At 40.4% G+C, this 21,858-nt stretch overlaps 1 protein-coding gene across 4 annotated transcripts in view, besides 1 other annotated feature; it reads left to right on the top strand.

Annotated features, from left to right (window-relative positions):
* Positions 1 to 21,858, top strand: part of CCDC38 (coiled-coil domain containing 38) — a 76,186-nt gene that overhangs the window by 7,613 nt on the left and 46,715 nt on the right. For 3 of the 4 annotated variants that reach the window (XM_011537883.3, NM_182496.3, XM_011537889.2), the window contains exons 3-4: positions 16,645 to 16,745; positions 18,327 to 18,492. In XM_011537883.3, the coding sequence (XP_011536185.1) occupies positions 16,645 to 16,745; positions 18,327 to 18,492 (267 nt within the window). Of the gene's footprint in view, positions 1 to 16,644; positions 16,746 to 18,326; positions 18,493 to 21,858 lie in introns of those variants that run through there. The other variant, XM_047428281.1, reaches the window with a different exon arrangement.
* Positions 6,427 to 6,928: an enhancer, noted in NCBI's record as "NANOG-H3K4me1 hESC enhancer chr12:96322471-96322972 (GRCh37/hg19 assembly coordinates)". NCBI's record gives its function as "activates a minimal SCP1, AML or CMV promoter by ChIP-STARR-seq in primed H9 embryonic stem cells {active_cell/tissue: H9 hESC(primed)}" and the evidence as "EXISTENCE:reporter gene assay evidence [ECO:0000049][PMID:30033119]".

The raw sequence follows: 21,858 nt of genomic DNA, 5'->3' as shown, positions 1-21,858 counted from the left end.
TATTTGTATTTACAATGTAAAAGTTTGGCTGCAAGAGACAGAAAATATAAAACAACTGTGGCTTAAACATGATAGACGTTTGTTCTCTCTCAGGTTAAGTCTGGATACAAGCATTCCATATGGAGGTTCACATCAGGGGCCCAACTCCTTCTGGCCTGTTCCTGGGCTATGTTCTTGGTCCAAGACGGCTGCTTCCACACCAGTGATTACATCCATATTCCTGCCAGCCAGGAGAAAAGGGGAAGGGGGGACATGCCCTGAAGTTGCATTCACCACTTCCGCTGACCTGCCTCCAAGGGAGGCTGAGAAACATAGCCTCTACTCTGAGTGTTCATTTAGGGTTCTATTCCTATAGAAGAAGGAAGAATGGATATTGGGGGTTCACTAGTAGTATCTGCTCCACTACCATTTTTTTTAAAAAAGCATTTAAAAGGAGCCATGTTTGGAATTTATTCTACAGATATGTATGCACAAGTGATTAAAGATGTGTGTACAGGAATATTTATTGCAGCATTGTTTACAATAGCAAAAGACTGGAATCAATCATAATGTCCATTGGAAAGGGTTGGTTATGTAAACTATAATACAACCAGGGAATGGGATAATGGGATACTAGACAGACAGCTTCTCTGTCACCCAAGCTGAAGTGCAGTGGCACCATCTCGGCTCACTGCAACCTCCGCCTCCTGGGGGTTCAAGCAATTCTCGTGCCTCAGCCTTCCGGGTAGCTGGAATTACAGGTGCCCACCACGCCTGGCTAATTTTTGTATTTTTAGTAGAGACGGGTTTTCCCCATGCTGGCCAGGCTAGTCTCCAACTCCTGACCTCAGGTGATCCGCCCGCCTCGGTCTCCCAAAGTGCTGGGACTACAGGTGTGAGCCACCACACCCAGCCTAGTTATTTAGTTTTTTTTTTTTTTTTGATGTCGTGAATATATATTTGCTGATATAAAAGGAACTCCTAGGTATATTGCTAACCAAAAAAAACAAAATGCAGAATATTAGACTAGTATGGATTGGATGATGCCTTTTTTAATTAAAGGATTTATATTACTTTGTCAAGAACTGTGACAGGGCTAAGATTTTCCTCTACTTGCAAACTCATAAGTTAGCTTGCTACAGTTTCCTGGATGTTGACAAGAGATACAAAACTCTTGGGTCAGAGACAAACGACTTTATTACTCACAAAACAACAAGCAGCATGAGTTTTGACATATTTGGTACCAGTTCCCTAAGACCCATAGCCTTCTTTTAAGATTAATACAATTATATATTAATAACATAATATGAACCTTTGAACCCATCAGAACCCAAAGACGAGGATCTTCACAAGAAATTACAACCTGACAATAACTACATACCCTATCCCTTGGCTTTCAACACCTAAGCCAGGCACCATGTTGAAGTCTGTTTAGAATTTTTCTTCACTATTTTATTTGTATGTATAGTTTTATACTGTATATATGCAGTCTTAAAGAGCATATTTTTCATTTTAGTTTTAACTTTTAAAAAAGTATATCTTGTTGACTATCATATTTTAGAAATTTTTCAGTTAACATTATATATATACATACATATATATTTATTTTAATCTTTTAAAAACAATTGTTTTTATAGACAAGGTCTTGCCATGTTGCCCAGGCTGGTCTTGAATTCTCGGGTTCAAGCGATCCACTTCAGTGTCCCAAACTATTGGGATTACAGGAGTGAGCCACCATGCCCAGCCAACATTATATTTTAAGATTCATTCATACTGTTGTATGGTTTAGATCATTCATTTTCACTGCTGTATAATATCACAAAATGCAAATGTACCATAGTTTACAGTTGACACTTCTTTGGGTATTTGGGTTGTTTTCAGCTTATTGCTACTAAATGGTGCTGCTAATAAACATTCTTGTTCACATCTCCTGGTATACAAGAAAGTTTCTTTGCATGTATACCTAGGAATAGAATTGCTGAATCTGACGTTAGCTGAGTATTCAACTTCAGATAATAATGTCAAAGTGTTTTCCAAAGTAGTTGTGCCAATCATAACTCTACAAGAAATGTATTAGAGATCCTGTGGAATTATATCCTCTCCAAACACTTGGCATTGTCAAGTTTTTTAATGCTTTGCCAATCAAATGGGTGAAATTATGGTCTTTATTTGCATTTCCCTGATAACTAATGAAGTTGAACAACTCTTCATATGTTTATTGACCATAAATGTTTCTTCTTCTGTTAAATGCTTATTTAATACAGTCTTTTTTCTATTTTTCTTTAGGTTGTTAGTGCTCTTTATATTGATTTGCAGTTTTGTAGATGTGGTATATCCCAATTATGTCATCTCTATGGAGTACAAATATTTTCTCCCAGTTTTAATTTATCTTTCAATTTGTTTATGGCGTCTTTTGATGAACAAAGTCTTTAATCTTAATATAGCTGAATTTATCAATATTTTCTTGTATAGTTACTACTTTTTGTGTTTTTAAGAAATCTTTCCCTAGCAAAGGCCTAAATGATAAAACCTATATGTTCTACTGTTTGTTTTAAAGGTTTTTGGGGGACAATTTTATCCTTATTTCATCTGTAGTTAATGTTTGTATGGAGTGTGAGGTAAAGATCCAATTTCCTTTTATTCCATGAGAATAACCATTTTCTCCGACTCATTTTTTGAACAGTCTCTCCTTTCCCCATGTATGGATATGTTCCTGAGATTTCCATTCTAGTCCATTAGTGAATTTGTCTTTCCCTTTACTGTAGCTCCATAATGATACACAGCAGAGCAATCTCCCCATCCTGTTCCTCTTGGGAAGGGTTCTCACTATTCTTGTCTCTTGGTTTTCCTTACTAATTTTAGAATTTACTTATCAAGTTTATTTAGAGAAACTCGTATGGGACTATGTACTTATATTACTGTGAATCCATTGATCATTCGTGGAGAATTGGCATTTTTATGAAATCATGTCTCTCTATCCACAAACATGACTCATCTCTCTATTAATTTAGATCTACTTTAATGTATTTTAAGATTATGTTATGCAGTTATTTCAATTCTGCAGTTTTTTAGTGCCTTTTATATACTAACCTAGCTGCTCGGGGTTCAAATATGAATACATCAGTACGATTGGAGACAGTAAAAGCCATGATTTCTAAAAAGATACTTAATATTGGTATGTACTCCAAATATGATTTAAGAAAAAACAAAATCAAGTCCAGAAACAACACCAAAAAATGAAGAAACAAATGGAAGGAAGAAAGGAGGGAAAGAAGGAAGGAAAAATGAGTGCTTGAGGGAAAATACCTCATATGCAATCTATTAGGGAATTCTGTTGGTTCTCCCTTCAGAATGTACTCAGAACCCAACCACTTTTCACCATTTTACTCCTACCATGCTGGTCTGAGCCCATTACCTCTTACCTGAACTAGTCTGATCTCAATCCTTGACTCCCCCACTCCAAGTCTCTTCTTATCCAACTACAAAGTATTAAGTAGGTCAGACCACATTCCTTCTCTGTTCAAAGCCCTCCAATACTTCTCTGGTTTACTGAGGGTCATTGCCAAAGTCTTCAAGACTGCCTACAAGATACTAAGTAATTATCCTTGCTACTACAGTCCCCCGACCCCATTTATTTCACTCCAGCTACACTAGCCTTTCTTGAACACACACAAGAGATGATCCTGCCTCAGGACCTTTGCATTGGCTGTTGCCACAGCCAGTACCTCTCTTCCTCAGATATCCACTTGACTGGTTCTCTCAACTCCTTTAAATACCACTTGATCAATGAGACCCATTCTGATCACTCTACTTAAAATTGTTCACCCCAGCCCTCCTATATTCTGCTTTATTTTTCCCACAGAACTTTATTACTTTAAAACATAAAAGTTACTTTATTATATTAATGTTTATACTTTCTATTTCCAAACCTGCCACTTCACCTCAGTATAAGATCTTCAAGAGCAGCCATCTTTGTTTTGTTCACCAGTGTAACATCAGTGCCTAAAACACTACCTGGCACATAGTTGAGGCTTCATTGGTATTTGTTGAATGAATGAATGAGTGGATGAATGAATTAATGAATAAATAGAAGAATTAGGACAAGACAAATAGAGTGTCAGTAAGGAGCAAGTCTAGGAAAGGAGTGAGACTGTGTGAGACAGAATAATGGCCCCCCAAATGTGTCCACATTCTAATCCCTGGAACCTGTAAATACGTTACCTTACATGGCAAAAGGGACTTTGCAAATATGATTAAGTTAATTACCTTGATATGGGAAGGTTATCCTGGATTAGCCAATGGGCCTAATATAATCCAAGAGTCCTTTTATTCAAAGACCGAGAAGGTGATGTGACAATGGAAGTAGAGGCTAAAGTGATGCACTTTGAAGATGGAGGAAGAGACCACAAACCAAAGAATGCAGGCAGCCTCTAACAGCTGGAAAGAGAAAGGAAACTGATTCTCACCTGGAGCCTCCAGAAGGAACACAGCTCTATCAACATCCTGATTTTATGCTCAAAGGACTCATTTCAGACTTCTGGCCTCCAGAAGTGTAAGAAAATAAATTTGCATTGTTTTAAACCACTAGGTTTGTGGTAATTTGTTACAGCGGCAATAGGAAACTAATACAGTGAGGCAGAGAAGAGAAAGCCTTCTCTCAAGGTTGTTAATTAGTAATGTCAGGGATTTGCAAGGCAGCTTAGAGAAGAATATAATAGTAACAAAAGGAAGAGATCTAGAGTTTAGAGTTTAGAGTAGCCAGGATTCAGCTACTAGAATTTGATTTGTAGATCTAAGCAGACCCCTTATTGCTAAAATGGAGTATTGGAGAGAGGTTGAGCCTAGCGTCCAGTTTGCTAAAGAGCTGGTAGAATGAGACTCTGTGTTGAGGTAGAAGACATGATTAATGGTGGAATTTGATGTACATTGCAGGTATGGAGTGCTGTAAGGGGTTGAATTTAGACTCCAAAAGATATTTCCACCAAGAACCTGAAAATGTGACCTTGTTTGGAAAGGGGGATCTTTGCAAAAGTAATTAAAGTAAGGATCTCAAGATGAGATCTTCTTGGATTTAGGACAAGGGCTAAATCCAATTACTAGTGTCCTTATAAGAGAACAGAAAGGAAGATTTGCGATACAGACACACAGAGGGGAAGGTCATGTGAAGAATGGAGGAAGAGATTGGAGTGATGGATCTACAATCCAAGGAATCCCAGGAATTTCACTACCAGAAGCTAGGTTAAAGTCATGGAATAGATTCCCCCTCAGAGCCTCCAGAAGGAACCAACACTGCTAACATCTTGATTTTGAACTTGTGGCCTCCAGAACTGTGAGAGACTACATTTCTGTTGTTTTAAGCCACCCTGTTTGTGGTAATCTGCTACAGCAGCCCTAGTCCTATGTGACTAGGAAAGAAATACGGGGAGAAGTGTTGCCTAGGGACTAGTTCATGTGGTGAGTTTATAATATAGGAAATTTGGTGTAGCGGGTTGAATAGTGGCCCTCCACAAATGGTTGGCCTTCCTATTCTAACCTCTGGAAACTGGGAATGTGGCCTTATTTGGGAAAAGGATCTTTGCAAATGTAATTAAGATAAGGATCTCAAGATGAGACCACCCTGAATTTAGGGTGGGCCCTAAATTCAATGATAAGTGTCCTTATAAAAGAAAGAAAAGGAGAAGGCCATGTGAAGTTGGAGGCAGAGGTTGGAATTATCCAGCCAATGAATGTCTAGAGCCATCAGAAGCTAGAACTGTGGAAGGATTCTCCCCTAGAGGCTTCACCAAGAGAGCATGGCTCTGCCATCACCTTGATTTCAGATATCTGACCTCCAGAATGGAGAGAATACATTTCTGTTGTTTTAAACTACCAATTTTGTGATATCTTATTATGGAAACAAGAGGAAACTAATATACTTGGTGTTCAGAAATTTAGTTTTCTTCTATTTCTCTGTAAACTGAAATAAACTCAGCTTTGAACTTGGAGGGACAAAAATATCACCTTGTCAATTCCAAGACAGTTAACCTTGGTCAGTAGAGATTTTAACTCAGGCATTAAAGATTTTAAGACACTTGCAGGGGAGGAGCCAAGATGGCCGAATAGGAACAGCTCCCGTCTACAGCTCCCAGCGTGAGCAACGCAGAAGACAGGTGATTTCTGCATTTCCATCTGAGGTACCGGGTTCATCTCACTAGGGAGTGCCAGACAGTGGGCGCAGGTCAGTGGGTGCATGCACAGTGCATGAGCCGAAGCAGGGCAAGGCATTGCCTCACTCGGGAAGTGCAAGGGGTCAGGGAGTTCCCTTTCCTAGTCAAAGAAAGGGGTGACAGATGGCACCTCGAAAATCGGGTCACTCCCACCCGAATACTGCGCTTTTCCCATGGGCTTAAAAAACAGCGCACCAGGAGATTATATCCCGCACCTGGCTCAGAGGGTCCTACGCCCACAGAGTCTCGCTGATTGCTAGCACGGCAGTCTGAGATCAAACTGCAAGGTGGCAGTGAGGCTGGGGTAGGGGTGCCCGCCATTGCCCAGGCTTGCTTAGGTAAACAAAGCAGCCGGGAAGCTCGAACTGGGTGGAGCCCACCACAGCTCAAGGAGGCCTGCCTGCCTCTGTAGGCTCCACCTCTGGGGGCAGGGCACAGACAAACAAAAAGACAGCAGTAACCTCTGCAGACTTAAATGTCCCTGTCTGACAGCTTTGAAGAGAGCAGTGGTTCTCCCAGCAGGCAGCTGGAGATCTGAGAACGGGCAGACTGCCTCCTCGAGTGGGTCCCTGACCCCTGACCCCCGAGCAGCCTAACTGGGAGTCACCCCCTAGCAGGGGCACACTGACACCTCACACGGCCGGGTACTCCAACAGACCTGCAGCTGAGGGTCCTGTCTGTTAGAAGGAAAACTAACAAACAGAAAAGACATCCACAGCAAAAACCCATCTGTACATCACCATCATCAAAGACCAAAAGTAGATACAACCACAAAGATGGGGAAAAAACAGAACAGAAAAACTGGAAACTCTAAAAAGCAGAGCGCCTCTCCTCCTCCAAAGGAACGCAGTTCCTCACCAGCAACAGAACAAAGCTGGACGGATAATGACTTTGACGAGCTGAGAGAAGAAGGCTTCAGATGATCAAATTACTCCGAGCTACGGGAGGAAATTCAAACCAAAGGCAAAGAAGTTGAAAACTTTGAAAAAAGTTTAGAAGAATGTATAACTAGAATAACCAATACAGAGAAGTGCTTAAAGGAGCTGATGGAGTTGAAAACCAAGGCTCAAGAACTACGTGAAGAATGCAGAAGCCTCAGGAGCTGATGCGATCAACTGGAAGAAAGGGTATCAGCGATGGAAGATGAAGTGAATGAAATGAAGCGAGAAGGGAGGTTTAGAGAAAAAAGAACAAAAAGAAACGAGCAAAGCCTCCAAGAAATATGGGACTATGTGAAAAGACCAAATCTACGTCTGATTGGTGTACCTGAAAGTGATGCGGAGAATGGAACCAAGTTGGAAAACACTCTGCAGGATATTATCCAGGAGAACTTCCCCAATCTAGCAAGGCAGGCCAACATTCAGATTCAGGAAATACAGAGAACGCCACAAAGATACTCCTCGAGAAGAGCAACTCCAAGACACATAATTGTCAGATTCACCAAAGTTGAAATGAAGGAAAAAATGTTAAGGGCAGCCAGAGAGAAAGGTCGGGTTACCCACAAAGGGAAGCCCATCAGACTAACAGTGGATCTCTCGGCAGAAACCCTACAAGCCAGAAGAGAGTGGGGGCCAATATTCAACATTCTTAAAGAAAAGAATTTTCAACCCAGAATTTCATATCCAGCCAAACTAAGCTTCGTAAGTGAAGGAGAAATAAAATACTTTACAGACAAGCAAATGCTGAGCGATTTTGTCACCACCAGGCCTGCCCTACAAGAGCTCCTGAAGGAAGTGCTAAACATGGAAAGGAACAACCAATACCAGCCGCTGCAAAATCATGCCAAAATGTAAAGACCATCAAGACTAGGAAGAAACTGCATGAACTAACGAGCAAAATAACCAGCTAACATCATAATGACAGGATCAAATTCACACATAACAATATCAACCTCAAATGTAAGTGGACTAAATGCTTCAATTAAAAGGCACAGACTGGCAAATTGGATAAAGAGTCAAGACCCATCAGTGTGCTGTATTCAGGAAACCCATCTCATGTGCAGAGACACACATAGGCTCAAAATAAAAGGATGGAGGAAGATCTACCAAGCAAATGGAAAACAAAAAAAGGCAGGGGTTGCAATCCTAGTCTCTGATAAAACAGACTTTAAACCAACAAAGATCAAAAGAGACAAGGCCATTACATAATGGTAAAGGGATCAATTCAACAAGAAGAGCTAACTATCCTAAATATATATGCACCCAATACAGGAGCACCCAGATTCATAAAGCAAGTCCTGAGCGACCTAGAAAGAGACTTAGACTCCCACACATTAATAATGGGAGACTTTAACACCCCACTGTCAACATTAGACAGATCAATGAGACAGAAAGTCAACAAGCATACCCAGGAATTGAACTCAGCTCTGCACCAAGCAGACCTAATAGACATCTACAGAACTCTCCATCCCAAATCAACAGAATATACATTTTTTTCAGTACCACACCATACCTGTTCCAAAATTGACCACATACTTGGAAGTAAAGCTCTCCTCAGCAAATGTAAAAGAACAGAAATTATAACAAACTATCTCTCAGACCACAGTGCAATCAAACTAGAACTCAGGATTAAGAATCTCACTCAAAACCACTCAACTACATGGAAACTGAACAACCTGCTCCTGAATGACTACTGGGTACATAACCAAATGAAGGAAGAAATAAAGATGTTCTTTGAAACCAACGAGAACAAAGACACAACATACCAGAATCTCTGGGACGCATCCAAAGCAGTGTGTAGAGGGAAATTTATAGCACTAAATGCCCACAAGAGAAAGCAGGAAAGATCCAAAATTGACACCCTAACATCACAATTAAAAGAACTAGAAAAGCAAGAGCAAACACATTCATAAGCTAGCGGAAGGCAAGAAATAACTAAAATCAGAGCAGAACTGAAGGAAATAGAGACACAAAAAACCCTTCAAAAAATTAATAAATCCAGGAGCTGGTTTTTTGAAAGGATCAACAAAATTGATAGACCGCTAGCAAGACTAATAAAGAAGAAAAGAGAGAAGAATCAAATAGACACAATAAAAAATGATAAAGGGGATATCACCACCGATCCCACAGAAATACAAACTACCATCAGAGAATATTACAAACACCTCTACTCAAATAAACTAGAAAATCTAGAAGAAATGGATAAATTCCTTGACACATACACTCTCCCAAGACTAAACCAGGAAGAAGTTGAATCTCTGAATAGACCAATAACAGGAGCTGAAATTGTGGCAATAATCAATAGCTTACCAACCAAAAAGAGTCCAGGACCAGATGGATTCACAGCCGAATTCTACCAGAGGTACAAGGAGGAACTGGTACCATTCCTTCTGAAACTATTCCAATCAATAGAAAAAGAGGGAATCCTCCCTAACTCATTTTATGAGGCCAGCATCATCCTGATACCAAAGCCGGGCAGAGACACAACCAAAAAAGAGAATTTTAGACCAATATCCTTGATGAACATTGATGTAAAAATCCTCAATAAAATACTGGCAAACCGAATCCAGCAGCACATCAAAAAGCTTATCCACCGTGATCAAGTGGGCTTCATCCCTGGGATGCAAGCCTGGTTCAATATACGCAAATCAATAAATGTAATCCAGCATATAAACAGAACCAAAGACAAAAACCACATGATTATCTCAATAGATGCAGAAAAGACCTTTGACAAAATTCAACAACCCTTCAGGCTAAAAACTCTCAATAAATTAGGTATTGATGGGACGTATCTCAAAATAATAAGAGCTATCTATGACAAACCCACAGCCAATATTATACTGAATGGGCAAAAACTGGAAGCATTCCCTTTGAAAACTGGAACAAGACAGGGATGCCCTCTCTCACCACTACTATTCAACATCGTGTTGGAAGTTCTGGCCAGGGCAATCAGGCAGGAGAAGGAAATAAAGGGTATTCAATTAGGAAAAGAGGAAGTCAAATTGTCCCTGTTTGCAGATGACTTGATTGTATATCTAGAAAACCCCATCGTCTCAGCCCCAAATCTCCTTAAGCTGGTAAGCAACTTCAGCAAAGTCTCAGGATACAAAATCAATGTGCAAAAATCACAAGCATTCTTATACACCAATAAGAGACAAACAGAGGACCAAATCAGGAGTGAACTCTCATTCACAATTGCTTCAAAGAGAATAAAATACCTAGGAATCCAACTTACAAGGGATGTGAAGGACCTCTTCAAGGAGAACTACAAACCACTGCTCAAGGAAATAGAAGAGGATACAAACAAATGGAAGAACATTCCATGCTCATGGATAGGAAGAATCAATATCGTGAAAATGGCCATACTGCCCAAGGTAATTTACAGATTCAATGCCATCCCCATCAAGCTACCAGTGACTTTCTTCACAGAATTGGAAAAAACTACTTTAAAGTTCATATGGAACCAAAAAAGAGCCTGCATCGCCAAGTCAATCCTAAGCCAAAAGAACAAAGCTGGAGGCATCACACTACCTGACTTCAAACTATACTACAAGGCTACAGTAACCAAAACAGCATGGTACTGGTACCAAAACAGAGATATAGATCAATGGAACAGAACAGAGCCCTCAGAAATAATGCCGCATATCTACAACTATCTGATCTTTGACAAACCTGAGAAAAACAAGCAATGGGGAAAGGATTCCCTATTTAATAAATGGTGCTGGGAAAACTGGCTAGCCATATGTAGAAAGCTGAAACTGGATCCCTTCCTTACCCCTTATACAAAAATTAATTCAAGATGGATTAAAGACTTAAACGTTAGACCTAAAACCATAAAAACCCTAGAAGAAAACCTAGGCATTACCATTCAGGACATAGGCGTGGGCAAGGACTTCATGTCTAAAACACCAAAAGCAATGGCAACCAAAGCCAAAATTGACAAATGGGATCTAATTAAACTAAAGAGCTTCTGCACAGCAAAAGAAACTACCATCAGAGTGAACAGGCAACCTACAAAATGGGAGAAAATTTTCACAACCTACTCATCTGACAAAGGGCTAATATCCAGAATCTACAATGAACTCAACCAAATTTACAAGAAAAAAACAACCCCATCAAAAAGTGGGTGAAGGACATGAACAGACACTTCTCAAAAGAAGACATTTATGCAGCCAAAAAACACATGAAAAAATGCTCACCATCACTGGCCATCAGGGAAATGCAAATCAAAACCACAATGAGATACCATCTCACACCAGTTAGAATGGCAATCATTAAAAAGTCAGGAAACAACAGGTGCTGGAGAGGATGTGGAGAAATAGGAACACTTTTACACTGTTGGTGGGACTGTAAACTAGTTCAACCATTGTGGAAGTCAGTGTGGCGATTCCTCAGGGATCTAGAACTAGAAATACCATTTGACCCAGCCATCCCATTACTGGGTATATACCCAAAGGACTATAAATCATGCTGCTATAAAGACACATGCACACGTATGTTTATTGCAGCACTATTCACAATAGCAAAGACTTGGAACCAACCCAAATGTCCAACAATGATAGACTGGATTGAGAAAATGTGGCACATATACACCATGGAATACTATGCAGCCATAAAAAATGATGAGTTCATGTCCTTTGTAGGGACATGGATGAAATTGGAAATCATCATTCTCAGTAAACTATCGCAAGAACAAAAAACCAAACACCACATATTCTCACTCATAGGTGGGAATTGAACAATGAGAACACATGGACACAGGAAGGGGAACATCACACTCTGGGGACTGTTGTGGAGTGGGGGGAGTGGGGAGGGATAGCATTGGGAGATATACCTAATGCTAGATGACGAGTTAGTGGGTGCAGCACACCAGCATGGCACATGTATACATATGTAACTAACCTGCACATTGTGCACATGTACCCTAAAACTTAAAGTATAATAATAATAAATTAAAAAAAAAAAGACACTTGGGATAGGGCAGAATCTAAGTTTGTAGAGTTTCTCTTGGAAGAAGAGAAGGCTGATTGGGGAAGAGGTGTCCAGCCCACTAATTACTCATCCCCTGGAGGACAACAGTGGCTCCATATTGGGATGTCTGGGGTCCAGCCCTGGCCTGGGAGTGATGGTATATAAGGCATAGGTCCATGGACTCTGTAAACACCACTGTATTAGGCAGAACTCTCCAGAAAAACAGAACCAATAAGAAGGAGATTTACTATGAGTAATTGGCTCATATAATTATGGAGGCTGAGAAGTCCCATGATTTGCCATCTATACGCTGGAGACCCAGGAGAGCTGGTGATGTAATTCAGTCAGACTCAGAAAGCCTGAGAAGCAGGGGAACTGATGGTGTGAGTTCCAGTCTCAGCATAGGAGAAGATGAGATGAGATGTCCCAGTTCAAGCAGTGAGGCAGAAAAGAAGGGGTTACTTCCTAATTCCTCAGCCTTTTCTACTCAGACCCTCAAGAGATTGGACGAGACTCACCCACATGGATGAGGGCAGTCTACTTTACTGAGCCCACCAATTCAAATGCTAATCTCACCTGGAAATACCCTCACAGACACAACCAGAAATAACATTTAATCTGGGAACCCATGGCCCAGTCAAGTTGACGCACACAATTAACCATCACAGGCACCTGGCCCCAGGTCCTTTTGAGTCCTCAATCTCTGTGGCTACCTCCTGGTCTTCAGCCTGTTGGCTTTGCTCGTCTACACTTCTGCTGTCCCAGAGTCTAGCTGCCTGGACCCACCCTCAGCTGTTTCTACTTCATGTTTTTAAGGCCTAAAATTGTATGTGCTGCCTTGACATATTTCAGCCTCACAGGGCCCCAAAAGCCTAACCATAAATCCTCTTGCTCTTGCCAAATATGACGTCCACCTAGCAGGAAACTCTCCCGGCCTGGCTAGTTCCTCTATCAATTGGACCAGCTGCATTCCACCTGGTCTTCAACCTAATGGGTTTCACTGCACTGTCAGCCATGAAATTATTCAAACAAGTCAATCACATCCTCCTGTGGGGACCAGGGGACACCTCAGCCTTTTGTTACTACAAAGTTGCCTCCCACCACTGGTGATTCACTGTGCTCCTGAGTGCAATTCCCATGTGGCACTGCATTGCAGGCAGCATTCTCCTCCCCCAGGCTATGAGTATATATGACTTATAAACTGCTTTCAGTCTCATATGTCCAGTGTTGGGTATCATGTGTTCAGCTATCTCGTAGTATTTAGGATGGGGGATTCACTCCATCACCATCAGGGTGAATAGGAGATGATCAGAGTACTCTGTGTTGAACCCAAGACTTCCACTCTGCAATTTTCTTTCTCTCTAACTCATGACTTACAGAAAAATGTGTTTGGAGTTTCTATAATCCCAGCCACTCCCACTTTCTACACTGAATCTTTGGGCAAATGGCTGCTTCTCAGGTAGACTTTAAGCTCCAGTCCATTAATTCCTTAAACTTTGGTCCACTAGCTCTTAGTCCTGGATGTACATTACAGCCACCTGGGGGACTCTCAAAATATTCCAGTGCTGATGTTTCCTTGACAAATTAAGTCAGAATATCTGGAGGTGGGTGGAGCCAAAATGATTCTAGTGATTTGGGGCAAGAATCATTGAGTTTCTTCACAGGCCCTCTGCTTGCTGGGAGGATGTGGAGTCTTTTTGTAAGGTTGAGGTGGACATGGGATGTGGGGTAAGAGTTGGGGAATGTGTCTTCAGGAATCCTCTTCCTATCTTCCTATCTCTGATTTAAGGTGTCAACTCCAGGCTCCCAGTATTCTTGGTTATATGGTTTGGCTCTGTGTCCCTACCCAAATCTCATCTCAAATTATAAACCCCACATGTCAAAGGAGGGACCCGTAATCCCCATGTGTTGAGGGAGAGAGGTGATTGGATCATGGGGGCGTTTTCCCCCATGCTCTTGTGATAGTGAGTGAGATCTCACAAGATCTGATGGTTTTATACATGTTTGGAAGTTCCTCCTTCATGCTTCTCTCTCCTGCCACCTTGTGAAGAAGGTGCTTGCTTCCCCTTAGCCTTCTACCATGATTGTAAGTTTCCCGAGGTCTTCCCAGCTATGCAGAACTGTGAGTCAATTAAACCTCTTTCCTTTGTAAACTACCGAGTCTCAGAGAAGTTCTTTATAGCAGTGTGAAAATAGACAATTACACTTGACCTTGACTATTGGTTTTGAAAGCCAAGATTTCCATCCTGCCACATCCCAAGAGTTAGAAAGTAAGAAATAAAGAAATAAAGAGAGAGAAAGTTTTTTTGTCATATCAAATGTTATAAAGAAAAACAGGAAGTCCATGCAGAAATTCAACTGACTTTTCTTTTTCTTTTTCTTTTTCTTTTTTTTTTTTGAGATGGAGTTTCACTCTTGTTGCCCAGGCTGGAGTGCAATGGCATGATCTCGGCTCACCGCAACTTCTGCCTCCCATGTTCAAGTGATTCTCCTGACTTAGCCTCCCAAGGAGCTGGGATTACAGGCGTGAACCACCACACCCGGCTAATTTTGTATTCTTCGTAGAGATGGGGTTTCTCCACGTTGGTCACGCTGGTCTCGAACTCCCGACCTCAGGTTATCCACCCACCTCGGCCTCCGAAAGTGCTGGGATTATACGTGTGACCACTGCGCCCGGCCCTCTTTTGCTTTTTTAATGGCCAGCCTTCATTTTTTATTTAGTGTAGAACAATTATGTGCAACCATCACTACAGCCAATTTTAGAACATTTTCACTAATTCAAAAAGAAACCTGCACCCCTCAGCCATCAACCCCTAGGCCCCATCCACCCTCCAGCCCCAAGCAACTACTCACCTACTTTCTATCTCCATGAATATGCCTATTCTGGATATTTTATATAAATGGAATCATATAATGTGTGGTCCTTTGTTACTGGCTTCTTTTACTTAACATGTTTCCAATGTTCATCCATGTTGTAGCATATATTGTACTTCATTCCTTTCTCTGGGCAAATAAGAGTTCCTTGTATGGATATACTGCATTTTGTTTATCGTTAATCAGTTGATGGATATTGTATTAATCTGTTCTCATGCTGCTAATAAAGACATACCCAGGCTGGCTAATTTATAAATGAAAGAGATTTAATGGATTCACAGTTCCATATGGTTGGGGAGGCCTCATAATTATGGTGGAAAGTGAAAGAGGAGGAAAGTCACGTCTTATATGGTGGCAGGCAAGAGAGTGTGTGCAGGGGAACTCCCCTTTATAAAACCATCAGATCTCATGAGACTTATTCACTATCACGAGAACAGCACAAGAAAGAACCCCTCAACACGATTCAATTACTTTCCATTGAGTCCCTCCCATGACACATGGGAATTATAGGAGCTACAATTCAAGATGAGATTTGGATGAGGACACAGCCAATCCATATCAGATATCTAGGTTGTCTCTATTTTTTGGCTATTAAAAATAATACTGCTCTAAATATTCATGTACACGTTTTTTGTGAGCCCCTATGCTTTCATTTCTCTTTGGTATATCCTAGCAGTAGAATTTCTAGGTCATGTGGCAATTCTGTGTTCAACTTTTTAAGGAACTGCCAGATTGTTTTCCAAAGTGACTGCCCCACTTAAACATTCCTTCTAGGAGTGAATTTGGGTCCAATTTCTCCACATGCTCTCCAGCACTTTTTATTATCTTTGACTTTCTTTTTTAAGACTCTCTAATCTGGGCAGAGGCTCTCCCTAAGGGTAGTGGCTGTATCTGTTGCTGTTGAAATGGTGGTGTAAGGGTAATGGTGGTATATGTATAATGGTGAGAAGAAACATATTAATATCTCAAAATTTTATCCTACTATTTTGGTAAAGACCTCCTTATTTTATCAACTCATTCCTCATGAAGCAGTAAGAGCTATGTCGGTGCTGTGGGAAACAGACAGAGGAGCTGTGACTTCTACCCAGGAGATGTGGAGGCAAGGCTATCTGCATTCTACTGTTAAAGCAAACTAAACATGGCCTGAGAAGGACTCCATACTCCATACTTCTATATTTGAGTCCTTGTGAACGAACTGCAACCTAACTTAATAGGTAGACAAAATTAAAACCCTAACGTAGAAGTATGCCCTGTAACAATAGCTGAATCTTGGCCTAATCCCAGCAGCCGTACCTCAACCACTCATACACTGCTGAGTGCTCAAACTGTGTTCAAATAAGGCAAATGCCGAGCTGTAACCAATCCAGCTGTTTCTGTACCTCACCTGAGATTTCTGTACTTCACTTCCCTTTTTTGTCTATAAATTTGTTCTAACCATGAGATATCCCTGGAGTCTCTGACTCTGCTGTGATTCTGGGGGCTGCCCGATCCACAAATCATTCATTACTCAATTAAACTCCTTTAAATTTAATTCGGCCAAAGTTTTTCTTTTAACACTACCTTCTCAGAGATCCCTGCATCCCATTCATTCCACCCTAGCTGGTGGGAGACTTACTATTCTGGTCAGCAGAGGAAGGATGACAGAATTCATTCATTCATTCTTTCTTTTTTAACAGGTAAAGTAAAAGATGGCTCAACCAAAGAGGACAGGCCTTATAAGATCTTTTTCAGAGATCTCTTTCTTGTCAAAGAAAATGAAATGGCAGCAAAGGAAACGGTAAAGTTTAATTAAAATCACAACCCCAATTAATGTTAGAATCATATCCACTTACCTATTGCTCTTATGAACTTTGCTGGGCTGAGACATGGAGTCAACTAGACGCAGATGGTGTGTGCCCCACACCATGATGGGGAGACAGTGTGAACACAAACGACAGAAAAACATCCAGCTGACAGTAGGCAGCACAAAGATCGCCACCTAACGGAGGAAGAGAGATATACCACTGCAGTCCAGTAGGACACGTATGGTACACTGTCCTTCATTGATTCCAACACACACATCTCCACATTTTTTACATTTCTGAAATTGGTACCTAGCTTACATAGATGGGATGTCATACATCACTGGCCCTGCATAAAATAATAGCACATCTTACAATAAGTGGCATCTCAGAGTGGAGGAAATACAGTAACAGAGGCGTGCCAAAGAAATATAGAGAAAGGGGTGTTCATCTTTGTTGATGAGAAGATGGAAAAAAGGCTGTTAGTGGTGAGGAGATAAAAGGAGGTGGGTCTTCAAGAATCAGATATGGATAAGACAATGCATATGTGTGTGCTGGGGAAGGAAGAAGGGATGAAAGTAGAGGAGGGGGTGTTGTTTTCAAATTTTGTGGTATGAAGCTAGATCAATGATAAGGCTGATTTTCCCACTGTGCCTTGCAGAGTTAATCTCACCACTGCTGTGGTCATCACACCTACATCGCCTGGTTCACATTTCAGTAGATTTACTTTCTTTCTTTCCAGAGGTAAAAGTTGATTACAGGACTTTGTCTACCCTAATTAAGATAAGGAAATTATCTAGAAATGCTCAACAACAGATTCATCTGTATGCGATGGTTCCTCAGCAAGTGTTGTATGGTTTTGTGGAACATACTTAAAATTAAATTGAGAGAAGATGAATGAAATCACAAGCCTAATTTTTAAATATCTACTGGGGAGATCCCTTTCCTCTCAAGTTTTAATTCCACAGAACCAACACTTAGAATTTCCTTTTTTTTTTTTTTTTTGACAGTCTTGCTCTGTCACCCAGGCTGGAGTGCGGTGGTGTGATCTCGGCTCACTGCCACCTTTACCACCAGGTTCAAGTGATTCTTGTGCCTCAGCCTCCTGAGTAGCTGTGACTACAGGCACCCGTCACCACGCCCGGCTAATTTTTGTATTTTTAGTAGAGAGGGGTTTCTCCATCTTGATCAGGCTGGTCTTGAACTCCTGACCTCAGGTGATCTGCCCGCCTTGGACTCCCAAAGCACCAGGATTACAGACATGAGCTACCGCACCCAGCCCGGAATTTCCAAATTTTAACTGCATTTTGAGCAAGACTAAATTGTGAAAATGAAGCTGAGAGGACATTTTCCAGTCTTGTATTTGTGATGTACATATTTAATAAAAGTTAAATGATCTCAGCTTCATATGAGAAGGAAACTAAAACAACACACATTCCTTCAAAGAGAAGAACCTGGGGTTGTTTTTTTAATGTTAAGATTTTTGTTGCAAATGTTATTTTTATATATAATCACTAATTTTAAGATAACATACTTTGGTATATTAAAAATTCTTTTCAACTTTTCCACTTGGGCAGGAAAAATTTATGAACCGTAACATGAAAGTCTACCAGAAAACTACTTTTTCATCCAGAATGAAGAGTCATTCATACCTGAGCCAACTAGCTTTCTACCCTAAAAGGAGTGGTAGGTCATTTGAAAAGTTTGGGCCAGGTCCTGCTCCGATTCCTAGATTAATAGAAGGTGAGTCTAAATTACTCTTTAAGAACATCATTTTGAATATTTACTATTAATGTCAGGTTTGGGAGCTTTGTTGGAGGGTGATTAAAACAGACAGTATGCTCTCTTATAATGGTAGGGAGTCTTAGTACATGGGGATTGAGAGTTAGGAGAAATTCTATGTTAAATAAGAAAACATACTTTTCCAAGATGACTGTTACTCATTTTCATAACCGTCCTCCCAGGAGGACAGTTACTGCCAAAAGAATGTAGTATTAAAGTTTGCAAAAGCGGATAAAATGTAAAGGTAATAGCTCTGGCCATTCATACTCAGTTCTAGATGTCAAACTTAGAAGTTTCTAAAGATAAAAAAGCCTTGATATCCAAGCCAAAGAACTCATGCATCCAGAATGAGGAAGCTAATAAAATTAAATGAGCTTACCTAATGTTGCAAATACCTAATCTGGTTTTAGTGACCTTTGGAGGCAACATATTAAAATACTATAAGATGATCATTACTACTCAACAAAAGAAGGCAATCTGATTATCAAAAATGACAAGTAGGGGGTATCCTACTTGTCAAACCAAGTAGTGCCTATAGATGAGATAGAAAGTACTTTGAAGTTAATGAAAATAAAGTGATTAATGCTAGGATGATGGAGTCTAAAATCTTCCCCCAAAATGAATGTTTTCCAAATTGTTAAATTAAAAAGTTTAAAATAAGAAGGGAAAAAAGGAAGGAAGGAAGGAAGGAAGGAAGGAAGGAAGGAAGGCAGGCAGGCAACTTAAAAAAATTTTCTCTGGATCCCAAAGCCCATGCACTTTCTCAAACTGTAAAAAAATTTTTCAGAGAACAAGCAAACCACTTAGGGAAGGGCTTTGGAGTCAATAATTAATGTAGGAAAAGGAAGCCATGTTAACTTATTCAGAAGAGCTTCCAAGTGCATATATAATTGTATGTAAAAGCAGCAAATGATAGGCAGCAAGGTGATGCCAGGGACTGTACCACAAGTTCTAGGGCATATCTACGTTCAATCACATGCCTCATAGTTCGCCTCCGTAGAGTGGTAAACCTTAGGTCATCAAGAGCATTTACAATTACATGTGATATGTTTTAGAAAGAGTTCTACACCAAGTGGCTGGTTTAAAATACCCAGGACACTCCAGCAGTTCTTAAATAACTCAGAAGTATGGCTTTGCAGATGACCCCATTCAACAGCATTGCTATTTAACAGAGAAGTTACCGGTCTCTTAAAAGTAGGTGTCTTGGATGAATTTTGGGTACAAAGGAAAAACAAAGTAAATGGCATAGGGTCAACTCTTCAAAAGGAAACAGTAAAATTGTTTGGCATTATCCAAGGCAATTTGGGCTCTGTCAGCAATGGAAACCAGATTGTCAGTTTCTGCCAATTGCACAGATAAGCAATTTGGACATTTTAACTTAAAATATAGAAGTCACCCTCAGACTGTATTTCCAATCAGGAGCTGATTTGAGTGAAAACCTTACTCCTCAAACTTGCATCCCCTGCCTGAATCCTGATTGAAAACAAACCTACATGAAAGCAAAATGAGCAAGCAACCACACGCTGGGAGGTTAGGTGACTTTAATTTTTTGTGTATGCAGTAAGTGGCAAACTGCTCGGTGCCCATCAAAGAAATCACATGCACAACTAAGTGTCAGAGACAGATCAGTCTGCCTACATGAGAGAAGTGCCATTTCCATCTTCGCACAGCGAGCAGCCTGACTCTGGTTTTGCTCTCAAAGCACAACACCTGGGATAGTTGCAGGACTCTCTGTTGCAGTATTCTATGTCCTCAGATCTCTCAAGCTGGTCTTTACATCCCCAGAGAGTGGTGGAGGTGCCCTCAGGTCTAGGAATGTTAATGCTTTGGGAGGGCTTTATTAATTCATGGCCTCTTGGTTCAAAGATCTGCCTGATAGCTAGAATAGCCAAAATGGGAAACTCACTATAACGAGTCTACTTAGAGTTGAAGAATAAAATTCTATCAACTCAGCCAGAGAGTACCATGTCAAAGTAAGCTGAAATGGTGAATATGGCTCTAAGATTTAGTAAGTTGACAGCACAGGATTTTTTTGGATATTGAAGTTTATTTTCAATTTGGCTGACCCATCAGAAATGATCAAATGAAAGCTACAGTAAGCACTTTCATTCTTTTCTTCTATTAAAAATGTTTGAGTAAATTGAACCTGAATCTAATCAAATAAATATGAGGATTGAAGACCATGTTAGATAACACCATGAGGATACAATATGTCAGATCCATTATATGGGAAATTCTACAGAGAAATTGACCTCGTTTCTTGAACAAATGAATGGCTTGGGAAAAAAAAAAGTGTGTGTAGGGTATAGGGTGTGAGGAGCGGGGGTGGCTATTATAGATTTAAAAGAGACTTTAGGATCCTTACCATAAAATATTTAGATTTTAATTTTTAAAATTCCAAAAAGGTATTTTTAAGACAACTGGGAAGATTTGAATGCAGACTGTGTGTAAAACGACACTAAGGAATAGTTCATTTTGTTAGGGGTGATGGTGGTTTTATGGTTATGATTTAAAACTTTTTATCTGCTAGAGTTTCATATTAAAGTATTTATGGGTGAAATGATACAAAGGCTTGAATTTGTTTTGAAATACTCCAGTGACGGAGACATTAAGGAGGGTGGCAATAAATGAGACAAGATTGGTAAAATGTTGATAATGTTGAAGTAGGTGACAGGTACACAGGGAACATTATATGGCTCTTTACTTTTATGAATGTCAGTGATTCCCATAATATAAAGTATTTCTGTTTTGTTTTGTTTTGTTTTTGAGACGGAGTCTTTCTCTGTCACCTGGGCTGGAGTGCAGTGGCGCAGTCTTGGCTTACTGCAAAATCTGTCTCCAAGGTTTAAGCAATTCTCGTGCCCCAGCCTCCGAGTAGCTGGGACTACAAGCACATGCCACTATACCTGGCTAATTTTTTGTATTTTTAGTAGAGACGAGGTTTTGCCATGTTGGCCAGGGTGGTCTCGAACTCCTGTCCTGAAGTAATCCACCTGCCTCGGTCTCCCAAAGTGCTGGGATTACAGGCATGGGCCACCACTCCCAGCCTAAAGTTTTAAAATCTATTAAAAAGACAGCTGTGTGATAAATGCTGACTGATTTCATATGTATTTTATTTAATCATCAACAAAACATTGTTAAATATTTTTGCCTCCTCGTTGTGTCTGATGAACGTGGCTCACGGAGTCTGTCACTTATTCGAAGTTCTCGGTGGGTGCAGAATTCAAGCCAAGGCCTGTCTGATTCCAAAGCTTGCTTTCTTTTACCTCCCAATTAACATTTATTAATGATTATAATAATCATTGTTGCCATTATTAACCTTGAGAA

This window comes from Homo sapiens, chromosome 12 (assembly GCF_000001405.40).
Source record: "Homo sapiens chromosome 12, GRCh38.p14 Primary Assembly".
NCBI classification, from domain to species: domain Eukaryota; kingdom Metazoa; phylum Chordata; class Mammalia; order Primates; family Hominidae; genus Homo; species Homo sapiens.
This window is presented reverse-complemented; position numbering and strand designations above follow the sequence as displayed.